This window comes from Homo sapiens, chromosome 2 (assembly GCF_000001405.40).
Source record: "Homo sapiens chromosome 2, GRCh38.p14 Primary Assembly".
NCBI lineage: Eukaryota > Metazoa > Chordata > Mammalia > Primates > Hominidae > Homo > Homo sapiens.
The window spans coordinates 108,744,183-108,770,804 of record NC_000002.12 but is presented as its reverse complement, the minus strand read 5'-3'; the positions used below and the strand labels follow the sequence as shown (position 1 = coordinate 108,770,804).

The window sequence follows — 26,622 nt, the reverse complement described above, 5'->3', positions numbered from 1 at the left end:
TGAAAAACAATAATGTAAAATATCATTAATTTTTATATTAATTAGAAGTTAAAATGATATTTTGGACATAAGTTAAATCAAATCTATCAATAAAGTTACTTTCATCTGTTTCCCTTTTTAACTGTTTCTTTTTATTCTTTTTAATATGGCTACTAGAAAATTTATTTATTTATTTATTTATTTGAGATGCAGTCTTGCTTTGTCACCCAGAGCTGGAGTGCAGTGATGTGATCACAGTTCACTAAAGCCTGGAACTTGTGGGCTCAAGTGATCCCTCTGCCTCAGCCTCCCAAGTAACTGGGATTATAGGCACAAGCCATTGCACCAAATGACAATTTTAAATTACATACACAGGTTATATTTTATTTCTACTGGATGACACTGCTCTGCAGAACCAGTGCCCTTCCTTTTACAATGTTAAATTTGTCCCTCTCCTTCATTATAAACAAAAACTTAGTATCATTTTCTAGCTAGGAGAAATAACAGTACACCGTAAGATACAGATTCTTGTTCCACTTCTGCTATTACTCAGTAAAGACACCTTGGGTAAATCAGATAGCCTCTCTTGGCCTCAGTTTACTCATGTCTAAAGTCTTCATTTCTAAGGTCCCTTGGGACAATGACATTATCAGATTCAAAACAAAATAAGGCTCTATGTTCTACAGTAGTATATAGGCACATTCATTCTTAGGTCAGGGATTCCTAACCTAGAGCTCACAGAAACTGTACGCAAGTATACATCCACTTTTAAGTTAACACTTTTCACATTTCTCAAAGACCGTATCTTTAAAAATAAAAGATTAAGAGCTACCTTAGCTAGTAATAAAACTGGTATACTTAAAAAAAAAAATCAGAGATTGCTACTTTATCATTGTACTTGTTTGGCATGGCTAAGATGTGTTACTGGTCACTAAGGGTGAGATTTCACTTCCCTAACCTGTTCTTGAAGGCCTTCAACAGATCCCACTTCTTGTTCCACTCTAGTAGCCACACTTCTAAAATTGATCGGTGCAACATATATAATATGCAAGCTGTAGAATGCTGGCTGTTAAAAACGGGGTCCATTTTCAAATACAACATTTTTCTAAACCATGCACAAAAGAACAGCCCTACAGGGACACTCTTCCATATTGTATACATGCCGTTGCCACTACATTTGAATACTGGCAGACGTTAGTGGCTAAACATAAACATTAGATAAAACATAGGTCTTCATTGAGCAGACCTGAAATAGCAGAGCAATGAAGTACATTACAAATCAGCATCCCAGTACATTTTAAAAAACAAACCAACAAGGGTGTCATGCCACCAGTCAAAAGGTACTTTGCTTAAACTGGCATTCTTTAACATGCATGTTGTAGTGGTAAGTACTTCATTTCATACAGCCACAGTTATTAATACTTTGCTAAGGGCTACCCAGCTGCTAAAAACTGCTGTTATCTCATACTGAGAATGCTAGTTCTATACCTTTGCTCTCAGGCTGTGAGGAAGGGGTGCTAGTCCAAAAGGCCATGGGATTAGATTTAAAAAGGCTAAAATTAAATCCTAGAAAATAAAGAATATTTCGTTTTTTAACATTTTAGGAAACAAAATGAATATGCTTTTAAAACATAAAAAGCCAGAATCCCTCAATTTATACCACCAATCTGATTGTCTTACATATTCATTTATCCCTGTAGTTTCATTCTTTGCTCATTTAATACATGAGCAAGACTGACATACAACATATAAAATGAGAACATCTCAATATCACGTTGTTTTTTTTTTTTTGGAGACAAAGTCTCAGTCACTCAGTCAGGCTGGAGTGCAGTGGCATGATTTCAGCTCACTGCTACCTCCATCTCCTGTGCTCAAGTGATCCTCCTGCCTCAGCCTCCTAAGTAGCTGCTAATTATAGGCACGCACCACGACGCCCGGCTCATTTTTGTATTTTCAGTAGAAACAGGGTTTCACCATGCTGGCCAGGCTGGTCTCGAACTCTTGAGCTCAAGTGATCTGCCCACCTCAACCTCCCAAAGTGCTGGCATTCTAGGAGTGAGCCACCGTGCCCAGCCTCAATATCATGTTTTCTGAGTGACAAAAGAAACTGAACAAATGAAAATGAACACTTTAAAAAAAGACTCACGTTAATGTGCATGATTCAAGCATGAGTCCGTATACCGTACCGAGTTCTTTTGCTCTGCCCTAGCATGATAAAAGTATCTTCCAGTTACTGAAATGTCTTAAACTAAGTTCTCTTGCTCTTTGAAACCTCACCGTGAACTTATTAAGGGAGAAAAAAAATTGCTCAAATATTTTGGGGGTGTTCACAAAGCATCATTTATATCCCAACATTAGTATCCTACAAAGAGTCTGCATCAAGCTAAACATTAAAAGAAAGAAAAATTGTGCTTAACTTTAACAACAAAGTACTTACCCTTTTCTGGTGTTTTAAATGTGTAGTTGATTGAAGATTCTTCCGTTGGAAAGGAAGCAAAGAGATTTTTGACTTTGCTATCTGAAGACTGTTCGATATCAGAGTTCTTTGACAGTTCACATTTTTTAGGTTCCACTTTGCTTTCAGATCCACTCTGGGCTACTGAACTAGTTTCACTATTGTTACTTTTCAAAGGTGCATTAAAACTAAATCCAAACAAAGACCCAGTGGCTGAACTGTTGCCGAATGCAAATGGTTTTGATTTTTCACTACTAAAAATGCTTTTAACAGACTCTGAACCAAATACAAACTTTGGAGGAGAAACCACTGCTTTTGGTGTTGTTTCAGATGTGCTAGACACTTCAACTTCTGAAGTTGCATCTGCTACATCATCACCCTGAATAACATCTGTCCTCTCTCTTGTGGTTTCTTCTAATACAGCTACAGCAATTTTGCCACATGGTGACTCTCTGGGAGTGCTTGACCGAGAAACATGAGGTGTTATCAAAGAATCTTTTTCCTGGGCTGTTTTTGCTTCATCAAAAATTTTCTTAAACGAGTCTGCAACATCCTGTAGTTTAAAACGAACAGCTAAATGCTCTACTTTTCTTTCTCCATCTGCAAAATCACATGCAGTCCACAACCATACTCTTTCTGTCCCTTTCATATTTTGCAAAGTCATGTCTGGAGTTATTCTGTGATTGGCACAAAGTTTTAATACTTGGTCCCTTCTCATCACTATACGAACTTGCTTATTATCATAATTCTGTAAAATCTTTATATCACCAATGCCCCTTTCTTTCCATTGACCAACATCTTTATCATATCTGTAGAGTTTTGCCCTGTGACTAAAAACAACTTGTTCATTTTCCTCACCACTGGATACTTCAACTAGATCAGGTAAAGGAACAACAGGTTCAAAGTACTGTCCATCTCTCTCTTCTTCTTGAGTAACATCAGATTCTTCATCAGTGCCAACTGAAGTCCCACTCTGATTCAACTTGGCAGGAGACTTAGATGGACTCAAAGCAGATTTAAAACTGAAGTTAAATCCTGTTGTTGACTCACCAAAACGGAAAAGATTTTTTCTCACAGGGCTACTTGCCAATGGAGAAGCATGTACTGAGCTACTACTGACACTATCATCCAAAGCATCTTCCCTTAAATCATAGTTATCCCATTCTAATGTGGGCCCAGTGTTTTCAGGATTGGGTTTTATTGTTGTGTCTGAGGCACCGGCCGCACCTGTACCTGAACCCTTATTTTCTTCCTCAGTGACTTTTGTTTGATCATTTGTCAAAAATGTTTTGAAATCTTTCAGTCCACTCTTCATTTCTTCAGCTCTCTGTATTAACTTGGCAGCTCTGCCAGTATCTACAAGTTTATGGGGAGTTTGAAGTGGTATGTCTAACAGAAGCCGCTGGCATTCCTCAAATTTCTGCTTGAATTCTTCAGCCAGCTCTGGTGTTTTAAATTTTGCTGCCAACTGCTCTAGTTTGGCATCACCATCAGAGAAATCACTGGCTAACCACATCCATGCTCTATCTGATCCAGAGAGAGGCTTCAGGTTCATCGTAGTCGTTATCCAATGATTAGCACACACTTTTAGTACTTGTTCTCTTCGCATCAGCATTCTTAGTTTGCCATTGACCTCGTTTTTGAGAATTTTTAAGTTCCCCAAGCCCCTTTCTTTCCACTGACTTACCTCAGCATCAAATCTAAATAGTTTTACCCGCTGTGAATACAGAACTTTTTCATCTTCTTCTCCTGTTACAAGTTCTACTTTTTCGGGCATTTGAACTACTGGTTCAAAATGGATGTCATCGCTGTCCTCAGTCTTATAGGCATCATCATCTTTCTCAAAGTCACCGGAAGTGTTTGCTTTATTGGCCATTTTACCGTATTGTGATGAGAATAATTTTTCTCCAGCACCTGAAAATCCCTTGAAATTGGGGTCTTTTTTGCCAAACTGAAATCCTTCTCCTGAAGTTGATTTTGCAAGATCTGCAAATGTAAAAGTGCTACTTGTTTGGCCAAAAATCACACCACGGCCATTCTTCTGGCCACTAATATCCTGAGCCTGGAAGCCAGTACCATTTTCAAGAGGCTTTTCACTTTTCTTTTCTTGATTTCCTGGTTCCGAAATGCCAAATTTAAATCCATCAGCAGACACAGGGATGGAAAATCCTTCTTTGGTTGACTTAAATTCTGTATTAGAAGAACCCTGAAACATAAATGAAGGTGAATTTTCTTGATCCACATGCCCAAATTTGAATCCTTGCTCTGTATTGCCAAACTTAGAAGCTTTTTCTGAGAAATTACTTTTAAATCCTGTTCCCACCTGACTTCCAGAAGAGTCATGCAACTTCATTTCTGAGCCCAGTGTGAAAGCTGAAGGAGCTTCTGCAATAGGTTTATGAGTTGGTTTAGAGGCATCACAAGCCACACATTTTAAGGAAGAACTCTCATTTTGTACACAGCAAACACTACAATCCCACTGTCCTTTCCTGATGAACATTCCTTCAAATCCACTCTTTGGAGCCTTGCTTATCTCCGAAGAGGCAGGTGTTGAAATTGCAGTTGTTTGATTTTGTTTACTTGGACACTGACAAGCAATACATTTGGTAGCACTGGCTTCATTTCTTACTAAGCACACACTGCAATCCCACTGTCCTTCCTTCTTAGTGAACATTCCCTCAAATCCGCTCTTTGGAGCCTTGCTTGTCTCTGAAGAGGCAGGTGTTGAAACTGCAGAAGTAGTTTGATTTTGTTTACCTGGATTCTGACAAGCAATACATTTGGTAGCACTGGCTTCATTTCTTACTAAGCACACACTGCAATCCCACTGTCCCTCCTTCTTAGTGAACATTCCCTCAAATCCGCTCTTTGGAGCCTTGCTTGTCTCTGAAGAGGCAGGTGTTGAAACTGCAGAAGTAGTTTGATTTTGTTTACCTGGATTCTGACAAGCAATACATTTGGTAGCACTGGCTTCATTTCTTACTAAGCACACACTGCAATCCCACTGTCCCTCCTTCTTAGTGAACATTCCCTCAAATCCGCTCTTTGGAGCCTTGCTTGTCTCTGAAGTACCAAACTTAAAAGAGGCAGGAGCTGGAACAGAAGTAGATGGACTTGGTTTATCCGGATTCTGACAAGCAACACATCTTGTAGCATTTGCTTCATTTCGCACTAAGCATGAACTGCAATCCCACTGTCCTTCCTTCTTAGCAAACATGTCTTCAAATCCACTTTTTAGAGTTTTACTTGTCTCTGAAGTACCAAACTTAAAAGAGGCAGGTGTTGGAATAGAAGTAGCAGGTAGACTCTGTTTTCTCGGATTCTGACAAGCAGCACATTTTGTAGAGCTCCCCTCATTTTGTACCAAACATGCACTGCAATCCCACTGTCCTTCCTTTGTAGAAAAAACAGATCTGAAATCACTGTTAATAGGTTTAGGAAGATCTCCCTGGCCAAATTTAAATGAAGCTTGATGAACAAATGAAGATCCACTTTTGTTAGCAGATTTTGTATTCTGACACGCAATGCACCTAGATACAGTAGGTTCATTTCTTACTAAACAAATACTACAATCCCAGTGACCTTCTTTCTTTGGAGTCACCAATGCAAATCGATCTTGAACATTCTCTGGGCTGGTTTTAGGAGTAAAAACAGTTTCAGCTAATGGTGGGCCAACGAGCTCTTTATTGCTTGGGTTTAGATTTTGGCATGATACACATTTCTTAGCAGTTGAAGCATTCTTTAATGAGCAGCTGTTACAATGCCACCAAGACCCTTCTTTCTTTGCAACCTGAAATTCAAAATTCAGGTTTCCAGCATCAGATTTGCAAATATCCTTGTTATCATGACTTGTGGGTTCTTTTACAATTCTGACAGCCTGATTTGACGCCATGGCTACATTTGTTCCTGGGGCTTTTAAAATGCTCTGGGCTTCTTCAAACTTGCATTTAAAAAGTGCTGCTTCCTCAGGAGTTTTGAACCTAATAGCAAGTTGTTCTGGTTTTGGCAACTCATCTGCATAATCAAGGGCATGCCATACAAAAGATCTGTCTGATCCAGCATTTGGTGTCAATTTCATATCTGGACTGATGTAATGATTTGCACAGATTTTCAATACTTGCTCTCGTCTCATTAGAAGGCGAATTTTACCAGATGTTTTATGCCTCAGTATTTTTACATTGCCAATCCCACGTTCTTTCCATTCTTTGGATTCTACATCGAAACGAAACAATTTCGCGCGGTTGCAAAAGAATTCTTCTTCATCTTCCTCACCAGTTTTTACTTCAATCTTATCAGGAAGAGGTACTACAGGCTCAAAGTGAGGACCGTCATCATCATCATCCCCATGGGCACTTCCTCCATCTGTCTCATGATTCTTGTTTGCTGTCTCTAAAGTGGGTGTTCCAAATACTGATTTCCCTGGACCATGGAAAGTAAACATATCATCACTTCGCCGAAAACCAGAATTCTTTTGCTGACTCGACCCCATGTTTTCTGTAAATGAAATTCCAGACACATTTTTGCTTCCAAAATTGAATGTATTTCGAGGCCCAATGGTTTGACCACCAGGAATTGGTTTGGCTCCACTATAGCCATCTCCTTGCAAGGGTTTATCTGAAGTCAGGAGACCTAAAAGGCTTTCACTGTTACTGTAAGCTGCAGGAGGGGGCTGTGTCACAACCTGTGGTGAGGAAAACGTGAAGTCACCATCATTTGATTTGAAATTTGAGTTAAATTTAAAAGGAGTTGGCTGTGTTGTGTGTGCTTGTGTTGGCAAAGATGGCCTTAATCCTTCACCCGGCATGGGCTGAACAAAATTAGTTTTCCCAAATTCTATAGTCTTAGATTCTGCAGATCTTGAAGCATGAGCTGCAATCGGAGGTTTTGTGAAATATCCTGGTTCTGGCAAAGGTGGATTTGTGCTTGTCTGTTGAACATTGTAATTAAAGTAATCATCACCCCTGGGCGATAGAATTCCCGTTGCAGGAGACTCAAAACGCAATGCAGGAGGACCATACATCTCCTGAGAGAACATACAAGCAGATGAGCTTTGCACTGGCGGTGTGTGCATCTGTTGCGGATAGGCATAAATATGCTGTTGGGGTGGAAGCCTATTCATGCCATAGACTGGGCCCTAAAAGACAGAAAGTTAAAACATTTTGTAGATTGTCTACAAAACTACAGATAACTAAATGCAAACCAATTCTCACAAACTTCAAACATGAATATGAAGTGAAGAAGATCTCATTAGGGGATGTAGTACACATCATTAACCCGTTTATGCCAGAGGCTGCAAATTTTCTGTGTGAAAAATCAGACCTTGGCAATGACCTTGAGCAGTAGGATATAAATAACTCCCATAAGCTTAGTGTTCCAATAATGGAGCACTAGGCATAAGTAGGTTAAGAGAAAACCACATTACTACAAAGATACTTGCATATATACTTGGCATATAATGAAAATTATGTATAGCATCTTAAAATCTACAGCTAAAGTCATAAAATAAATACCTTCTTCATTCCTAATTTATCAAATGATGTTAATGATGATGATGATGATGATGATGATGATGGTAACATTTATTGAGCATTTATTAATGTGCCAGCTGGGCACTGTTCTAAGCACTTTACATTATTATCTCATTTTAATATCCTCAAAAACCCTATGAATTAAGGTATTATTATTATCCTCATTTTACATATGAGGCAACTGATGCATTGAGAGGTTAAGAAACTTGCCTGTGGTCAAAATAAGCAGAAGAGCAAGGGTCTAAATGCACCCCAACACTCTGTCCTCAAAGCTGTCACATTCAACTACCACTGTAATATTGAGTCTTCAATCAATTGTTATATATATAGCTGTATCAGGCCTGAAAGTACTTACCACATAGTGGGTCAGCAAGGGCATTACAGTTCTATTTCTGTTAAAACAGAACGATGAAGGATCCACCACCACCACTCCCATTTTTAAAATATTCTAAATATTCACACTTATTAACACAAAAATAAGGTGACTAAGAAGGATAATTTCTGTATTTGGAGATAAATTTAAAATATCTACATTTTAAGGGACATAAAAGTTTTAATAGTGAACTGCTCTCTTGAATTTATTTGAAGGAACCCTAAACAATTTAAAAAGGAAATAATTATAAATGTATAAATTATTCCTTTGTTACCTTTGTGGGAGTAACATTAGCTGCTGGTCTGAGAAGATACTGGGAATTATATGCTGGTGACTGACTATAATATACTGAAGGGCCAGTAGTTGCAACTAAAAAAACAAAAAGAAAATAAAGAAAACACTGTTAAAGTCTATACTACAGTTAAGACTATCTAGGCAAGAGCTATAAATACAAAGGCAATAGAAATTAAAGAAAGATTTAACTACATAAATTTTAAATTTCTGTACATCAAAATACACCAATCAAGATTATCAAATGACAAACTAGAAAAAAACTGCTAAATATGACATGAAGAATAAGAGAATAGCATTGCTGTGATCAACAAGAACAACTACCTCACAAGCATTAAAAAAGGAATAAAGAAGAAAGTAACTGTTGCCTTTTCTAAGAAAGATCAGTATGATGTGGAATTATGGACATTCAGTCACAGAAAGGACGTAAGGAACCAAGATGCCATCTGATGGTCAATGCATTTGAAGTGGGCCTAGAAAATCTGCAGAAAGACTAGGTTGTATTTTGTAAACTAAAGCTATTACTGAGAATGTTCAGCTCAAAAATCACCTGACAAATTCATGGACAGGATGTCATAAATAACATAAAATGTGTTCCCTGGCTTAAAATAAAAAGCACATCAACACTCATGCTGATGTACAAACTGTCTGCTCCCTCTGTTTTGTGTGTTTTACCAGGAAACAAAATGACTAGAAGGCACCCATGTTAATGGCAAAACTACCAATAGTCATTTGCTTGAACTGTTTTATGATAGTTTTACCAGAAAACAACCAAAAGACCTTTTATGCCTGTACATGGAAAAAGAAACAGAAACTGTGCCAAGAGGTTCCAAACAATTGCCTCTGGAAAGCACTGAAAAATCAAGACCTAGAAAAGGCTAGCCAGAAGCCCAAGTTTGATTTTGGAAACCTTACAGAGGTGAGGATAGCTATTTTGAAATTACTATGGGGAGGAAGCAGGCACAGAACACAGAACAACCTGACAGAAATGGCCCAAGAATCTTAAAGTCTTGCAAGATGTCTGTCTGCATGAAAGCAAAAAGAAAAAATAAAATATTAAATAAAAAAAAAATCTTAGTCTGAAGTTTAAGTAGGGACTTTAATTGACTACTGACTCTAAACTGTGCGGCTCTAATAAATCTACTAAAAGTAATCTAACTTTTAAAAGCACCATATGAATAGACAATTTAGGAAAGAAATGTTAATAGGCCTCAAGGAACATGTTTTTGAAGTGAGCCTTGAAAAATCCGCAAAATGATGAGGTTGCATTGGGCAAACTGAAGCTATTATGAGAATGTTCAGGTCAAAAAAATTACCTGACAAATTCATGCAAAGGAGATCACAAGGAACACAAATGTGTTCGCGGGCTTTAAAAAAATCACATTAACATTCATGTTGATATACAAACTCTTCTCCATCTGTTTTGTGTGAGTTTTACCAAGAAACCAAACAACTGGGAGGTACCCACGTTGAAGATGGCAAAACTACCAACTGCCATTTGCATGAATTGTTGACCATGACTAGTATTAAAAAAACTTAAAAATTGATATCACTTTTGTTCCTACAAATTGGCAAAGGATTTTATAAACCAGTAAGTCAGCATTAGCAAAGTGCGAAAATGGCACTATCAGATACTAGTGGTAAGAGCATAAACTGAATATTCTGAATACCCTATAAAACTAGGACAGTGTCCTAGAATTTGTAATGGCATAAACCAGAAACAACATAAATAAAGGAACAGAATTTACAGTACTTCCATGTGATGGGATACCATGAACTCATTAATGTTCAAAAAACATTTAAGTTTAAAAATGCTCAGAACTAAAGTAACATTTAAAAAACAGGCTAGCTCATCTACACACAACATAGTAACATGGTAACAATCTCATAAAAAATACTATATGTATAGAGAAAGAACTAGAAGGAAATGCTCTCAAATATAGGAAATGTTAATAAGGTGGTTAGCTTTTAGTTTTCTTCACCCTGTTCAGTACTTCTGAGTATCTCCTATGAGCTCATTAATCTTTAATTTTAATCATCTTATTTTTAAAAAACAAGGACCATCTTGATATATGTTTACTTTTATTAAGGAAAAAGAATCTATGAACACAGGAACAGAAATCAGGAGATCTTGGCTCTCGCCCTTTCAGTGCCACAAAGCTGTTTTGTGAACCTGTAAATAATCCATTTGGAGTCTCCATGTTTCTCAATTGTAAAATGAGGATGTGCTGCTTCTACACATTTCACAGGGTCATTGCAAGAATAAAATGAGACAATGAGAATGTTGGATTTACATGCTTGTATAAGAACAGAAGATCTTTTATGCCTGTACACAGAAGAAATGGAAATCATGACCCACAAGGCACCAAATAACTGACTGCACACATCACTAAAAAAGCCCCAGGAAAGGCTAGCCGGTTTGTTTATCCTCTTACAAGGACCTATATGATGTGTAAGGTTTTAAGAAAACAAGGTTTGAACGTTAGACATTTCATATACTTATCTATGACTTATGACATTTAATAAGCTTGATTTCACAAAGATTTTCTGTTATTTTGCTTGTGTTGAGAAGATACTATCACAAAAGGCTAGTGGGGTTGCCTTAACTATATGAACCATCACACAAATGTGCTCATCTAAACTAGATTTTATTCTAAATCTTTCCTGGGCTAAAAAGAGAAAAAAAAAGGGCACTACTACTACTACCATTTCAGAAGTCTGTCGTACGTAAAAGGAACAATTTTGTTATTTCTCGCTGCCTGGGAGCAATGTATTATACTGGCAAGTGCTTTGGAGTTACACCACCGGAGTGTGAATCTCAGCTCTATCAATAACTAGCTGTATAATAATGAGTAAGTTACCTAACCTTTCTTTAATTTCCTTATTTATAAAAAAGGGATTAATAATGGTACCGGCCATTCTAAGTTACTGTAATTAAATAAAATTACATTCACAAAGCACTTTTGCACATAGCCAACCCACAGTAAACACTATTAGTAACCTTAGTTCATTAACTGTTTACTGTATACTCTAATAAATGTCTGATACACACCCACGCCCACCTGCACATACACAAATGCTCATAGTAATTATGTAAGGCAAGTATTATCTCCACGTTTCAGACAGGTTATCTTACACAGCTATTATAGTAAGTGATAGAGCAGAACTTAAAAACCCAGTATGATTCAGGTCCAAACTCCTTTTCTTTCTTTATATAACCATAATATTTCAAATTAAGTAAGATTTCCTATATAACGTCCTGCCTCTCATCATTATCATCAAAATAATTCCCCAGAGGTGTAGGTTCTTAATTAAGCATTTCTTAGTGCATAACTCTATTCATTAACATTTTTCAATTTAAGGAATAATCTCATCTCAGCTCATCTGAGGTGTGGATTAAGTGTTCTTTAAGCCTTTATATACACGTGATCACATACGGCTCGTTTTTTCTGCTTGGGATTATAAAAATCTCCGTAACACCAAATACAGCTTTTGAAGTCACATATAAACAGACGTTGACATGTATATTAACAAACATATATAAACAAGGTGATTTCACACGTTATCTACTTAAAAGAGGGAAGTAAAGTAGTTTTACTAAAATATGCGATTATCCACTTGCCAGCTCACCTGTTAGTGGAGCCCCATGAAATGTCTGTGACCCCTGATATCCATCAGGCACTGAGTCTGGTCCATAATTCTCTGTGGGCCAACGATGAGGGGATGCTGAGTTACTGCTATTTAGTTTCAACTCCTGCATTTCTTTCTATTGGAAGAAAAAAAAATCAAATAATTTTAAACATTTAATTATATCATGACAGAAACAGTGCTGGGGAAACTTACTCTTTTAAATTTAAATAACTGATTTTTTTTTTTTTTTTTGAGATGGTGTCTCGATCTGTCGTCCAGGCTGGAGTGCAATGGCACAATCTTGGCTCACCGCAACCTCCACCTCCTGGGCTCAAGCAATTCTCCCACTTCAGCGCCCTGAGTAGCTCGGATTACAGGCGTCAGCCAGCACGCCTGGCTAATTTTTTGTGTAATAGTAGAGATGGGGTTTCACCATGTTTGCCAGGCTAGTCTTGAACTCCTGACCTCAAGTGACCCACCACCTCAGCCTCCCAAAGTGCTGGGATTATAGGTGTGACCCACCACGCCCGGACCTGATTATATCTTTTGAAAGTTTCTATTTGCCAGTGAGTTCTAGGTACCTGGTGCTGATTTTAAAATATGATTCTTAATTTGTTAAAAATTTATCTGCTCCCATTTTCATTTATTAATACAAAACCTAATTTATTAACTCTCACCTAAACAAATAACCTCCTAAATGATCACACCTTCATTTCCATTCTACACTTGCCTACATTAACCTTTCTGACGTTCACCTCCAGCCAAGACAATTCCCTGCTCAAAAAAACAAGTATCTACAAACTAAACTTCTTTCCTCAACTTTCACAGTCCTCTAACATTACACTGACCATCCTTTCAGTGTGTTCTTTCTGCACTGCAATCTGGACTACCTGACATTCCGCGTTACCTCCCCAAATTAGCTTTTCACTTAACCCCATGCTGAAACAAAATACAACTAATTCTCAAGGTGATGTTCAAATGCTCCACCAGGAAAGGGAAAAAAGTAGTAGCTGCAGAGAATTTATTATGTATATAATAATACGTCCAATGCACTTAAACTCTTAATTTTTATACTATCTACACTGTTAGGTAAACAATATTAGCTCCTATCTTAAAATGAGAGAAACGGATGCAGGGAATAACAGCTGGAATTTGAACCAGATCTGACTCCAAAAATGTTTTCTTAACACAACTCTGCTGCCTTGACAAGATGGCAGATAGATACAATGCCGTCTAGTGTAGCTATGTGGCTACCTCATCTCTGCTGAAGAAAACTAAATGACAGCACCATACCCAACCCTAGAACCTACAAAATGTCCCCTTACAAAACAGACACTTAACAGGAAATTCTTTTTCCAAAGAAATTGTAGTGGTATCAGAAAACAGGTAAATTTTGAAAAGTTTCAAACTTCTCTGTATCAGCCCAGGAATCCGACCAGTTCTAACAAGTGAGGTCAGGGACAGATCTAGCATGTCTGCTTTCTTTTTCTACAAGTGTTTCAATTAAAAATTTCCCAGAAAGACCTAACCATGAGGTCCAAAACTATCTCAATTTTCAAGCTAAATAAAATTTCCCCCACTCATCCATCTACAGTGCCTAGTCCAGATGCTACACATACACATCCAATAAGAAACTAGTGGAATCACCTAGAAAACTTTATGGTCACTGTTGGTATCCGCACCAGAGCTTTGAATTTGCAATCACTGCTGTAACTGTAATTTTTAACATTCAGTGTGATGAGAACTGGCTTCAGTAATTCTCTCATTTTAAAGATAAGAAGCCAAACAGTCACAATGGAAGTGACTGGCCCAAGATCATTAATTAATGGCAGAGTCAGTACTAGTACCAAGCTTTTCAAGCTCATGGATTAGTGCTCCACGATACTTCCACAGAATACAATGTTGGGAGCCTGAAACCTGTATGTTAAGTCAAAATTGTATGTAATTGTCATAGGCCATGACTACACAGAATTAACATTCAAAATTTTTGTGCAAATTCAAAAATGTCTTCCCCACCACACAGTATTCTCTTAAGTTGCAAATACTGCTGATCACACTGTAATAATCGCCACACATCAGCATATCCTTGATGTAACCTTAGCAGTATGAGTAATTTAGTTCTTGCCTGATAAACATGAAAGAACCTACTTTTATTTCCAATTCCAAAAAAGTCAAGCTCCTTTGAACCCTATTGTTAAAATAAGATATATATACATAACTATTTCCTTACATAATGAAGTCAAATTCATATGGAAGTATTAAAATATAGTAAGACTTTTTGAAGCTCAGACCACTTTTCAATTCCTAGCTATACATTTGAAACACATGTAATCCACAGCTAATCTGGGAATGAACTCATAGACCAGAGTATGATTAGTACATGGTAGCAGTTCAATCACTCAGGAACCTTCTCTGTGCCACGAACTCTTATATTTTAAATAAAACAGTTTCTACCTTTGAAGGTCTCAAATTTTGTGGAAGATGAAGAGAGAGACACATAAAGTACTTTCAAAAATACGGTAAAGGGCTGGGCTCGGGGGTTTACACCTGTAATCCCAGCACTTTGGGAGGCCAAGGCGGGCAGATCACCTGAGGTCAGAAGTTCAAAAACAGCTTGGCCAACATGGTGAAACTCTGTGTCTACTAAACATACAAAAATTAGCTGGGCCTGGTGGCGGGTGCCTGTAATCCCAGCTACTCAGGAGGCTGAGGCAGGAGAGTCGCTTGAACCTGGGAGGTGGAGGTTGCAGTGAGCCAAGATCGCACCACTGCACTCCAGACTGGGCAACAGAGTGAGACTCCATCTCAAAACAAAACAAAACAAAATATGGTAAAGGGTCAAGACCGAGGTATGTAGGCTGGGCACAGTGGCTCACACCTGCAATCCCAGCACTTTGGGAGGCTGAAGCAGGAGGATTCTTTGAGCCAGGAGTTCAAGGCCACCCTGGGCAACATGGCAAAATCCCATCTCTATAAAAAATACAACAATTAGCTGGGCCTGGTGGCGTGTGACTGTCTGTAGTCCTGGCTTCGTGGCAGGCTGAGCCAAGAGCCTCTCTTGAGCTAGGAGGTCGAAGCCACAGTAAGCTGTGATCATACCACTGTACTCCAGCCTGCACAACAGAACAAGACCCTGTCTTAAAAAAAAAAAAAAAGACCAAAATGTCCCCTTGCCATACTATTTGGATGGCAAGGGGACATTCTGACCAGCTTCAGAAAAAAAGTGAGAGAGTGGCCAGGGAAGGAATCTTGGAATAAAAAGTACAGCTAGAGAAATTAAGTGACTTACCTTAATGGCCTCTACTTGTTGGCAAATCATTTTCAGTAAAGAATTCTGATCTTCTGCCCATCGAGGTGGTGTTTTGGGAGAATACTAAAAAAAAATAAAAATAACAAAACAGCATTTAAAACACTTAGAACAGAAACAATTTCACAATGAAATGATTCCATTCTTTCCTGTTTACCTTGTAACTTTTACTTGGTGATAGTGAATATCTGGTAGGAGACGGTGTAGAATGTTTTATTTCTGAATCTGCATTTCGCAAAGAACCATTTTTATAGAGAGGACCTCCTTCACTATAGTCTTCGAGTTCCTGCATGACTGAATTAAGCATCTCTTTTACAGACTCCAGGGGCACAGGCAACTAAAAATAAAAGACATTAATTAAGGGCTTTCATTTGCAAAAAATTCCAAAAGTAAAAACTCTAAAATGATATATTTTATCTTATTTACATTTTTGCCACTTTAATAGGCACTTTACACTTTAAATAATACACGTGAAAGTGTTTTTTAATTATCTTTTTTCTTTTTCTGTTGTTTTGTATTATTATTATTTTTTGCCTTTATTATATTTTTTTCTTCATGAACACAGAAAAGTGTTGTACAATCTAACATCTTCTGATTCTAAAGTCCATGCTCTTTCTATTACTTCTGTTAACCATGATAATTGTAGAGGAATGTTAACTTGGAAAGCTTTTCCAAGTGAACAAAATAAGTTACTGATGTTTTCTAACTGATTTTCAATGGTGACAGAAATACAGATGCTACAATACACCAGACAACATAAATCCTAATAAAAGAGTAGTAACACAAATTAATCAACAAAACACTCAGAAGACTGAACATAATTTAACATCATCATGACAATCTCAAACAGCTGACAGCAAGAAAACAAGGGCGTTCACAATGGCTGATGAGGATGAGAAGAAATGCTCTTAAGTTGTCAGCAACAACTTTCAATTTCAGCAAAGTTCATTAAGAATTAGTCCTGAGGTTATAATATTTGTTTTGATTACACTGCTAAGATAACAAAATCAATGTCTTATCTTAGAAATCTTTTCTAATTCCCCAAGAAGTACTTTTTAAGAGCATATACCTAGATTCCCAAGTTTAAAAAGACACACCAAACCTAAGACAAAGCAAGCAAATATAAGCATTTAGACACACATATCCCTTCTGTGCATTAATAACAACATATTACTGAGTATTTTTGAAATTACCAAAATATAAGACCAACGCAAAAACATTGACCAGTGGGTTATCAGTAAGAACGTACATACAACAACCTGCTACTTACTTTCTTGACCACTGAAAGATTTGAATCACTGTCATCTATAATCTTTATTAGGTAGTCCCTGGTCTTTCTCAGATAATTTTTGCATTCTTCTTGTTCTTCAGGAGAAAGGGCATCATTTTCAATGTCTTCTGCCTTCCTGTGAAAAATCTATACAAATAGTGCTTTTATGAAATCATTAGGTTTTTAAAACAAAAAACTTTTAGCTTGGCCACGCATGGTGGCTCATGCCTGTAATCCCAGCTACTCGGGAGCTGAGGCACAAGAATCGCTTGAGCCTGGGAAGCAGAGGTTGCAGTGAGCCAAGATTGTGCCACTGCACTCTAGCCCGACCAACAGAGAAACCCCGTCTTTTAAAAAAATAATAAATAAATAAATAAAACTTTTAGCTCAAGTACTGCATCTACTTACCAGTGCAAGATTCCAATAAGAAACAACACTTTTTATAGATTCAAAAGCAGTCACAGCATCTTCTATATTTCCATTTACTGCATCCAATATAGCAAAAGTTATGTGTGCGTCTTCTTCATATTCAACAATTTCTGATGCCTAAACACACAGAATAGTTTTTAGTCAAATTGTTTATACTCAGAATATAAAACCCAAATGATTTTCCAAAGATTTTATATGATCTTAAGAGACAAACATCTCATTATTCTTCTCTGTCATATCTTATGTGTGAGAGCTAGTGAATTTAGAAAACAAGATTACCATTAAATAACAAGGCAATTAATTTAAGCAGTGTATAGCTCTATGTCTTTGTTTATAAACTGGAAATTCCCATCTCCAATAAATTCATAAAGGAACTCTGTTACCTGAATGTCTACACTATGAAAATGTTTAAACAGAGGATCAATAGGTTCAGGAATACTGTTCTTCTTTTTTATTATCTTCAACAATGGCAAAACTTTCTTCCAATAATGAACACTTCTCCCTATGTATTCTCGTTGATCATAAAAAGAATTAAGACCGCTGCCCTAAAAAAGAAAGTTAAAAGCACACAACTTTAAGGAACACGCATGATTAGATCTAAAGTTCATTTACAAGTTGAAAGAACTGGCTAAAATTTCAAGTCAAAACCAAATGGTATCTCAATAGTCATTTGTTCAACTTCCAAATACTGTAATAACTAAACCACCTTAACACCAGTGATCATTCTACACTCAACTTTTTTTTTTTTTTGAGACAGAGTCTTGCTCTGTAGCCCAGGCTGGAGTGCAGTGGCGTGATCTCGGCTCACTGCAAGCTCCGCCTCCTGGGTTCACACCATTCTCTTGCCTCAGCCTCCCAAGTAGCTGGGACTACAGATGCCTGCCACCACGCCCGGCTAATTTTTTCTTTTTTTTTTTTTTTTTTTGTATTTTTAGTAGAGACGGGGTTTCACCGTGTTAGCCAGGAATGATCTCGATCTCCTGACCTTGTGATCTGCCCGCCTCGGCCTCCTAACGTGCTGGGATTACAGGTGTGAGCCACCGCACCCGGCCTCTACACTCAACTTTTAAACGCTTCTAATGATACCATCCTAACGTAGCAATCCAAACTACTTTTTAACAGTTGCCATTTTTAGATAGCTGAAACCTGCCTCTTCTGTAGTGTCAGTTTGTTCAAAAGGCTGACCATCTACACCTCATGGTGACACAAAACACACCTTAAGTATATAGAAAGATCTATAATGGTCTTACCTACAAAGCCTTGTGCTAATTTTTTTTTTTAATTTTCAGGCTGAATAATTATCAGAACTTAATTATTAAGGAATAACAGTAACAGCTCAGCTAATATGTAACATTCACTGTGTGCCAGGCATTGCTCCTCTAAGTGCTTATATTTAACTACATTAACTATTTTGCAGCAATAAAAAACACATCTGTCATAATGTGACCAAGCTGCTGTTTTCAGAACAAAAAAACTTTCAATAAAAAGTTCATGATTTTAAAAAATTAAGGTAATGTTCTTTAAAAATGCTTATACTTTAAAACTCACCGTTTTCTGAAGGCATTCTGCCCAATGTACAAGCAGAGCAGGTTGAAGGCCATGTTTTTCCTGGGCTCTTAGAGTGTTTATTTCATGCTGAACTAGAAGTCTCAATTTTGCTACGTTTCCAGGTCTAAAAAATAGTTCAATTTACTAAAATTGCTTTCTAAATACACAGTTCAGGGCTTACATACATATATGTTAATGGGTCACATGACAAATTAAATCTTCACATGAGGATTAAATCCCCGGTAAAACCTACGCACTAAGTGAAAGCAATATTTTTGTTTTACTACTTACACTGCTTTTCTGTGAATCAGAGTACAAACCGCATCCCACCAAGATTTTTGTCTTTCTGTACAAAGCTGTTTACACACAGGAAGGGGCAGGCATAACGGCTGATAGGAGCTGTGGTGAGAATTACATTTCTCCTTTAATTGTAAGTGGCTGGTATATACTACTCCAAGGAGAAATACCTGTTTTATTTAAGGAAAAGTTAAGTTAGAAAAAAAATTAAACAAAATTCAGAATATTTAATTTGTTAAAATCTTTGCTTACTTCAAGATCTAAAATACATATTGATTCAGGTGCATTTGTTTCAAGCCTTGAGGTTTCATGGGGCAAATGATGGAAAAGCTGTTTTAGCCATTTTCGGATTCCAGGTAAAGCAGGCAATGAATTCCACTGTAAGCCAAGCCAAGTAAGGTGCTGAAGACTACCATTATGTGCTCGAATAGCACCTGAAATAAAATTAAAAAATTGGCTTAAGGGTTTGAAATTTTTCCTTGTGCCATTAGTTTTGCCAACATAAACAATTCACATTATATATATCTTAATTATATAACTGCTTTTCTATATCAAAGCTGAAGGGAATTCTATGTTAGGCAAAATCTCATGTTCTTATTAAATGCATTCTCACTTGATTATTTCTAGAAATTTTAATAAAAATAGTAGTGATGAAGAATGTTTAAGTCCATCTTAAAAAATGACACTGACTAGAACTCAATAAACCAAAATCAACTGACAAAAGCCAAATAAAGAACACCTAACCTAATAAGAAACCCCAAAACGATGGGTTTTCCTTTAAGTCATTAAAGCAATGGAACACCACTATATTAATCCATCGGTACAGTAAAGAAATCTGTTTTTCTACAAGAAAGTCAATATTGAAAAGGTTCTGCGCAGTCAGGAGTTCGAGACCAGCCTGGCCAGCATGGTGAAACTCCGTCTCTACTAAAAACACAAAAAATTAGCCGAGCATGGTGTCACGTGCCTATAGTCCCAGCTACTTGGGAGGCTGAGGCAAGACAATTGCTTGAACCTGGCAGGCGGAAGTTGCAGTGAGCCGAGATTGCGCCACTGCACTCCAGCCTGGGTGACAGAGCGAGACTCTGTCTCAAAGAAAAGAAAAGAAAAGAAAAGAAAAGAAAAGAAAAGAAAAGAAAAGGTTATGTGCTTCTGGAAGCATAAAGAGGTATAATCTTTCTGTCATTTTGGCAATTTGCAAGACTTAAAGATGTTCATGGCCTTTGTCTCTAATTCTGTTTTTAGGTATCTCTATGGAAATAACTTGCAATGAAGACACTTTTTGTTGAAGTTTTTATCAGAGTATGATTATTAACAGTGGAAAAGTTGAGAAAACTTGGATGCCCAATAACAGAAAGTAGCAAGCAAATTATGACTACTTCATAAAAAAGATTATATTGCCAATAAAAGTGATATTTATAGTTTTAATACAGAGACTGTGGGAGAGAATTCATGAAGGAAGCAAGATAAATCATACATAAACAACCATTTAGATGAAAAATATGGCCAGATGCAGTGGCTCATGCCTATAATTCCAACACTTTTTGTTTTTGAGACGAAGTCTCGCTCTGTCGCCCAGGCTGTCGTGCAGCAGTGTGATCTTGGCTCACTGCAACCTCCGCCTCCCGGGTTGAAGCGATTCCCCTGCCTCAGCCTCCTGAGTAGGACTACAGGCACATGCCACCACCCCCGGATAATTTTTGTATTTTTAGTAGAGACGGGGTTTCACCATGTTGGCCAGGATGGTCTCGAACTCCTGATCTCAGGTGATCTGCCTGCCTCGGCCTCCCAAAGTGCTGGGATTACAGATATGAGCCACTGTGCCAGGCCTAATCCCAACACTTTGGGGGCTTAGGTAGGAGGATCACTTGAGCCTAGGAGTTCAAGACTAGCCTGGGCAACAAAGGGAGACCCTGTCTCTACCAATTAAAAAAAAAAATTATCTGGGCCGAGTGGCATGTGCCTATGGTACCAGCTACTCAGGAGGCTGAGGCAAGAGAATCCCTTGAGCCCAGAAGTTCAAGGTATCAGTGACCTACGATCATGCCACTACACTCCAGCCCAGGTGACACAGCGAGACCCTGTCTCAAAATACAACAAGGCTGGTCGCAGTGGCTCACACCTGTAATCCCAGCACTTTGGGAGGCCAAGGCAGGTGGATCACCTGAGGTCAGGAGTTTGAGACCAGCCTGACCAACATGATGAAACCCCGTCTCTACTAAAAATACAAAAAATTAGCCGGGCGTGATGGCGGGCATTTGTAATCCCGCTACTTGGGAGACTGAGGCAGCAGAATCACTTGAACCTGGGAGGCAGAGGTTACAGTGAGCCGAGATCGCACCACTGCACTCCAGCATGGGCGACAAGAGCAAAACTTGGTCTTAAAAACAACAACAACAACAAAAAATACATGCCACCCCCACAGCACCACATTCAAACTCCCCCCAGCCCAACCCACACACAAAAGGAATACAGGAAAATATTAAGTCGTTATTTCTGGGTAATAAGATTATGGGCAATTTATAAGAATTAAGACGGAGACCATTTCCTCTGAAACATATAACTTACCAACATCGTATCTAGTCAAATCTTCAAGCTCTGGTTCTCGTACATCAATGTTTCCAATATCATCGCTACCAAGAAAAGATGTATCCTTAGGTGACTGACTAGAAAACAGAGCATCATATAATGCAGACTGCCCGCTTTTGTTGGCAAAAGTTTCAACAATCTCTTTTAAAAAATCTTGCTTGCCACGACTTAAGTTTAGCAACATGTGCCCTGAAAAAAAAATTTAAGTTATTTCCATCACTTTAAAATTACAGATTGTATTTGCTCACGTTGTCTCATTTGTATACCCAAAGGGGAAATAACATGATTACTGCATACCTAACCCTCCAACCCAAAAAATACAGCTGGACAACAAAACCGGTGCTTATGTAGCAAATGAGAAGAGTACAGGTTTAATATTCTCAGTATCTACATAAGACAGCAGAAGGGGGAAAAAAGACAGGAATGTGTATGAAAAATGCCAAACATATTTGCATTTCAGATGAAAAGGTCTGGATTTAAGTGGCCATAGGAGAACAGGGACAAACTCTTATTCTCTGATCTGATACACTGATTTCTGAACCTGGCTGATCAGAATCCTCCTTTAAACAGCTTTTAAGAATTATTTCCGGCTGGGCACGGTGGCTCATGCCTGTAATCCCAGCACTTTGGGAGGCCAAGCTGGGTGGATAATGAGGTCAGGAGATCAAGACCATCCTGGCTAACACAGTGAAACTCCATCTCTACTAAAAATACAAAAAAAAAAAAAAAAAAAATTAGCCGGCCCTGGTGGCTGGCGCCTGTAGTCCCAGCTACTGGGGAGGCTGAGGGAGGAGAATGGCATGAACCCAGGAGGTGGAGCTTGCAGTGAGCCGAGATCACGCCACTGCACTCCAGCCCGGGCGACAGAGTAAGACTCTGTCTCAGGAAAAAAAAAAAAAAGAATTATTTCCAGGCCTCGTTCCCAGAGTTTTTTATTCCATAGGTTTACAGTAAGCAATCAAAAAATCATAGTCTCGGATAAAGTACTGATACATGCTATAACACAGATGAACCTTGAAAACCTTGCTAAATGAAAGAAGCCAGTCACAAAAGACCACATACTATATGATTCCATTTATGTGAAATGTTCAGAAGAGGCAAACCTACAGAGACAGATTAGCAGTTGCCAAGGCTGAGAGGTTTGGGTAAAATGGGAAGTAACTGCTAATAGGTAAGGAATTCCTCATGGAGTGATGAAAATCTTCTAAAACTGACTGTGGTGACAGTGGTAATACTCTATGAACATACTAAAAGCCACTGAACCGTACACTTTAAATGGGTGAAGCGTATGGTATATGAATTATATTTCAATTGAACTTTTTTTAAAAACCCTCCTTCGAGTTAATTCTGCTGGGCAATTAGGTTTGGTTACCACTACACAGTTGTGTCTCAGCACACTTACAGAGGCACCCTCGGGATGCCCAGATCAAAGACATTAAAAAAAATACAGGCAATTTTTATCTAACTGTGACACCACGCAAAGGCACTTATGAGAGCCCTGCAAGGGTAGAAGGAAAAGAGAAAAGGAAAAAAGTAGAAAGTCACTTTAAGGACTGAAAGCCTAACTCCCACAAAAAAAAGTGAGCTATGGAATAAAAGAGCAATGTGAGCTCTGGCCAACAGCCTAACTATACACCAAAGCTTATAATAACTTTGATTTAATATTACATCTTGCTCTTTACAAAATTCATCCAATTTTATATCAAAACTGCTCCTTATAGAAAGCATTATGTTTCTTCAGTTCACTGCTTGATTCAATGGCCACCTAACTACCTTAAAGTTTGTATCTTAGCAAAATCACAGGTAATACGCAACAGACCTTTAGGATTTATCCCAAGCCAAAAATGGGGGAAAAAATCCACAAATTCCAAGAGCCTAATATAAGGTAAGTATATATCTTCTATCTTCCTCCCTACGCTCTCAGCTCTTTAAGACAGATCCGTATCTTCTTCATCTTTATATCCCCACAGCAGTGTTTTTAGAATCAGCTGGTGTTAAATGGTTGGCAAACCAATAATTATACTTAGTTCAGGAAGTGACTAAATATTCAGGATAGAGGCTCTAGCAGCCAGATAAAGAAAGAGTTAAGAAATCCTCTCCACCTAGGAACAAACAATATCAAATATTCATTTTTTTAAAGAATGTGCTATTTTTCACATCTCTTCCATACCTATTGCTCTTAACTGATACGGCAAAAAGAAATAATTTTGACAAATTATCTCCTGGACAGATGAAGATTTTATCATAAGATATGCCTTAACAGAAATTCCTTTTTCTTTTTAAATTAAATTAGTTTAATATTACTATTACCTGATTGGCTCAGTCGGTCACAGGCCATCATTTCCAGCAGATTTTGTCCAGCTTCACCTTTTATTAATTTAATCTTTGGTCTTGGAACCTAATAATTTTAGAATCAAAAATCTTAATTTGATGATACCCATACTTCTAATAGTAACATGGTCTTATCTATTACACTGTACTTTTTTTGATAATGAATAAACAGTTAACCATTAATTAAACTGAATTGGAAAAGACTGCAAAAACTGGGAACCAAGGAATTTATATAACCTATGAAAGATAGGCCAGGTACAGGCGTGGTGGCTCACACCTGTAATCCCAACACTCTGGGAGGCCAAGGTGGGCTGATCACTTGAGGTCAGGAGTTCGAGACCAGCCTGGCCAACATGGTGAAACCCAGTCTCTACTAAAAATAATAAAAAAAAAACAAAGAGCCAGGCGTGGTGGCACACACCTATTAATTCCAGCTACATGGAAGGCTGAGGCACAAGGATAGTTTGAACCTGGGAGGCAGAGGTTGTAGTGGGCTGAGACTGCGCCATTGCACTCCAGCCTGGGTGAAAGAGCGAGGCTCCATCGCAAAAAAAAAAAAAAAAAAAAAAGGGCCAGACATGGTGGCTCACACCTGTAATCCCAGCACTTTGGAAGGCCAAGGTGGGGGGATCGCTTGAGCCCAGAGTTCAAGAACAGCCTGAACAACACGGTGAGACCCTATCTCTAAAAAATGTTTTTTTTAATTAGCCAGGCATGGTGGCCCACACCTGTGGTCCCAGCTACTCAGGAGGCTGAGGCAGGAGGATCACTTAAATCCAGGAGGTCAAGGCTGCAGTGAGCCATGATCATGCCACTGTGCTCCAGCTTGGGCGACAGAGTGAGACCCTATCTCCAAAAAAAGAAAAAAAAAAAAAAGCATACACAGAGCAACTCTGAGAAATTAGTTTCTACTAAAAGCACATTCATGTTACATTCAGAGAAATGGAAAATTTAATTACATTACTTTTCGACCCTGCATAAATAGGACAACAGCAGATGTTGTCCTATTTGAGTAGATATGACACCCTACTTTAAAAAGTACAGGTGAAATGACACTTGGAAATGCCACATTGTAGATAACACATTTTCAGAGTATGGATAATATGGGATAGCACTGGAATAAATGGGACAACCAGGAAATTAAAGAGATCCTCATGCAATAACCTATGAAAAAAAAAAAGCATGATGAATAGAATGGCAAAGGGAAGACGTGACAGCTGCCTTCAAATATTAAAATTATTTTATAAAAGAAATCATCAAAAGAAGAAACAAGACCAACAGGTAGAAGGCTTGAAGAATATTTTTATTCTATATAAGGAAGTACCAAGAGCCAAACCACCTAAAGATGCACTGGGCTATCTTGAAAAGTAATGAATGTCCATCACTGAAAACGTCCAGTCATAGGCAATGCCCACTTACTAGAAACATGCCAAAAGTAACTATATGGGTGACTAGAGCATCGGCTTTTAATTCTATCACCACTTTCTTAATTGGTGGTGGAAATGTAATTTGATACAACCTCTTTAGGGTTAGATATTTGGCAACAGCTCTAAAAATTATAAATGCACAGATATACTTTGATACTGCAATTCTTTCAGGAATTCATGGCACAAGTTAATCATTGCTAAATTACTTGAAGTAGCATTAAAAAAAAAAAAAAGTAAAAGCCAGCTAATGTCCTGGTTTTAGGACCCTGGTTTTAAAAACTCCAAAACTACAGTACATCCATACAATGGAATAATATGCAAGCATCCAAACTAATGAGAATGCCCTTTATATATACTGACATGGAAACATCTCCAAGATACAGTTAATGGAAATAAAGTAAATGCAATGTTCAAATGTTTTCCTCCTTCTTTTAAAGACAGGAGATATATATGTGTTTACTTGGAGATGCATAAAACATTTCCTGAAGAACACACAAGAAAGCAATAACATTAGTTTCTTTGGAGGTGGAGAAAGTAAATAACTAGGGAACAGAAAGGAGTCTTCATAGCATATTCTTAAGAGCCGCCAGAATTTTAAACCATGTATATATAATTCTTTCCAAACATGTTCATTTTTCAAAATATATGATTTATGAACCTAAAAGCTTCTGATTTTGAATTTTAGAAATATTCATATTGCCTATCCTTTTACTCACAAGTTTTCTAAACATCATGTCAAAGCCCTTTGTCATCTATATGTTGAAAAGAGCACACAAAATAAGAAACAAAATGTTGACATCATTCTTTTTGTTTTGAAACTGACCTCAATTCATAAACCCGGCCTCTTTTACAAAATTATTCAACAGTTGAATCTGTGACCAGTTAATTAGTTGTGAATCCACTCAATCAAATCATCTCAATTCACTATTTCCTTTTTTTTTTTTTGAGATGGAGTCTCGCTCTGTCGCCAGGCTGCAGTGCTGCAGTGGCACGATTTCAGCTCACTGCAACCTCCGCCTCCTGGTTTCAAGCAATTCTCCTGTCTCGGCCTCTCAAGTAGCTGGGATTACAGGCACCCGCCACCATGCGTGGCTAATTTTTGTATTTTTAGTAGAGATGGGGTTTGACCATGTTGGTCAGGATGGTCTCAAACTCCTGACCTCAAGTG

The 26,622-nt window shown here is 37.9% G+C and overlaps 1 protein-coding gene across 12 annotated transcripts in view; it reads right to left on the bottom strand.

Moving 5' to 3' along the window:
- RANBP2 (RAN binding protein 2) overlaps window positions 1-26,622 on the bottom strand; it is a 1,122,820-nt gene that overhangs the window by 1,071,497 nt on the left and 24,701 nt on the right. For 4 of the 12 annotated variants that reach the window (XM_047445367.1, XM_005264002.4, NM_001415871.1 and 1 more), the window contains exons 8-21: window positions 24,007-24,094; window positions 21,676-21,885; window positions 19,360-19,541; window positions 19,102-19,277; window positions 18,811-18,934; window positions 17,646-17,807; window positions 17,242-17,379; window positions 16,834-16,980; window positions 15,721-15,900; window positions 15,546-15,629; window positions 12,257-12,392; window positions 8,610-8,704; window positions 2,417-7,568; window positions 1,468-1,545 (exon numbers count right to left, since the gene is read on the bottom strand). In XM_047445367.1, the coding sequence (XP_047301323.1) occupies window positions 1,468-1,545; window positions 2,417-7,568; window positions 8,610-8,704; window positions 12,257-12,392; window positions 15,546-15,629; window positions 15,721-15,900; window positions 16,834-16,980; window positions 17,242-17,379; window positions 17,646-17,807; window positions 18,811-18,934; window positions 19,102-19,277; window positions 19,360-19,541; window positions 21,676-21,885; window positions 24,007-24,094 (6,952 nt within the window). Of the gene's footprint in view, window positions 1-1,467; window positions 1,546-2,416; window positions 7,569-8,609; window positions 8,705-10,691; window positions 10,861-12,256; window positions 12,393-15,545; window positions 15,630-15,720; window positions 15,901-16,833; window positions 16,981-17,241; window positions 17,380-17,645; window positions 17,808-18,810; window positions 18,935-19,101; window positions 19,278-19,359; window positions 19,542-21,675; window positions 21,886-24,006; window positions 24,095-26,622 lie in introns of those variants that run through there. The other 8 variants (NM_001415873.1, NM_006267.5, NM_001415872.1 and 5 more) reach the window with 5 other exon arrangements.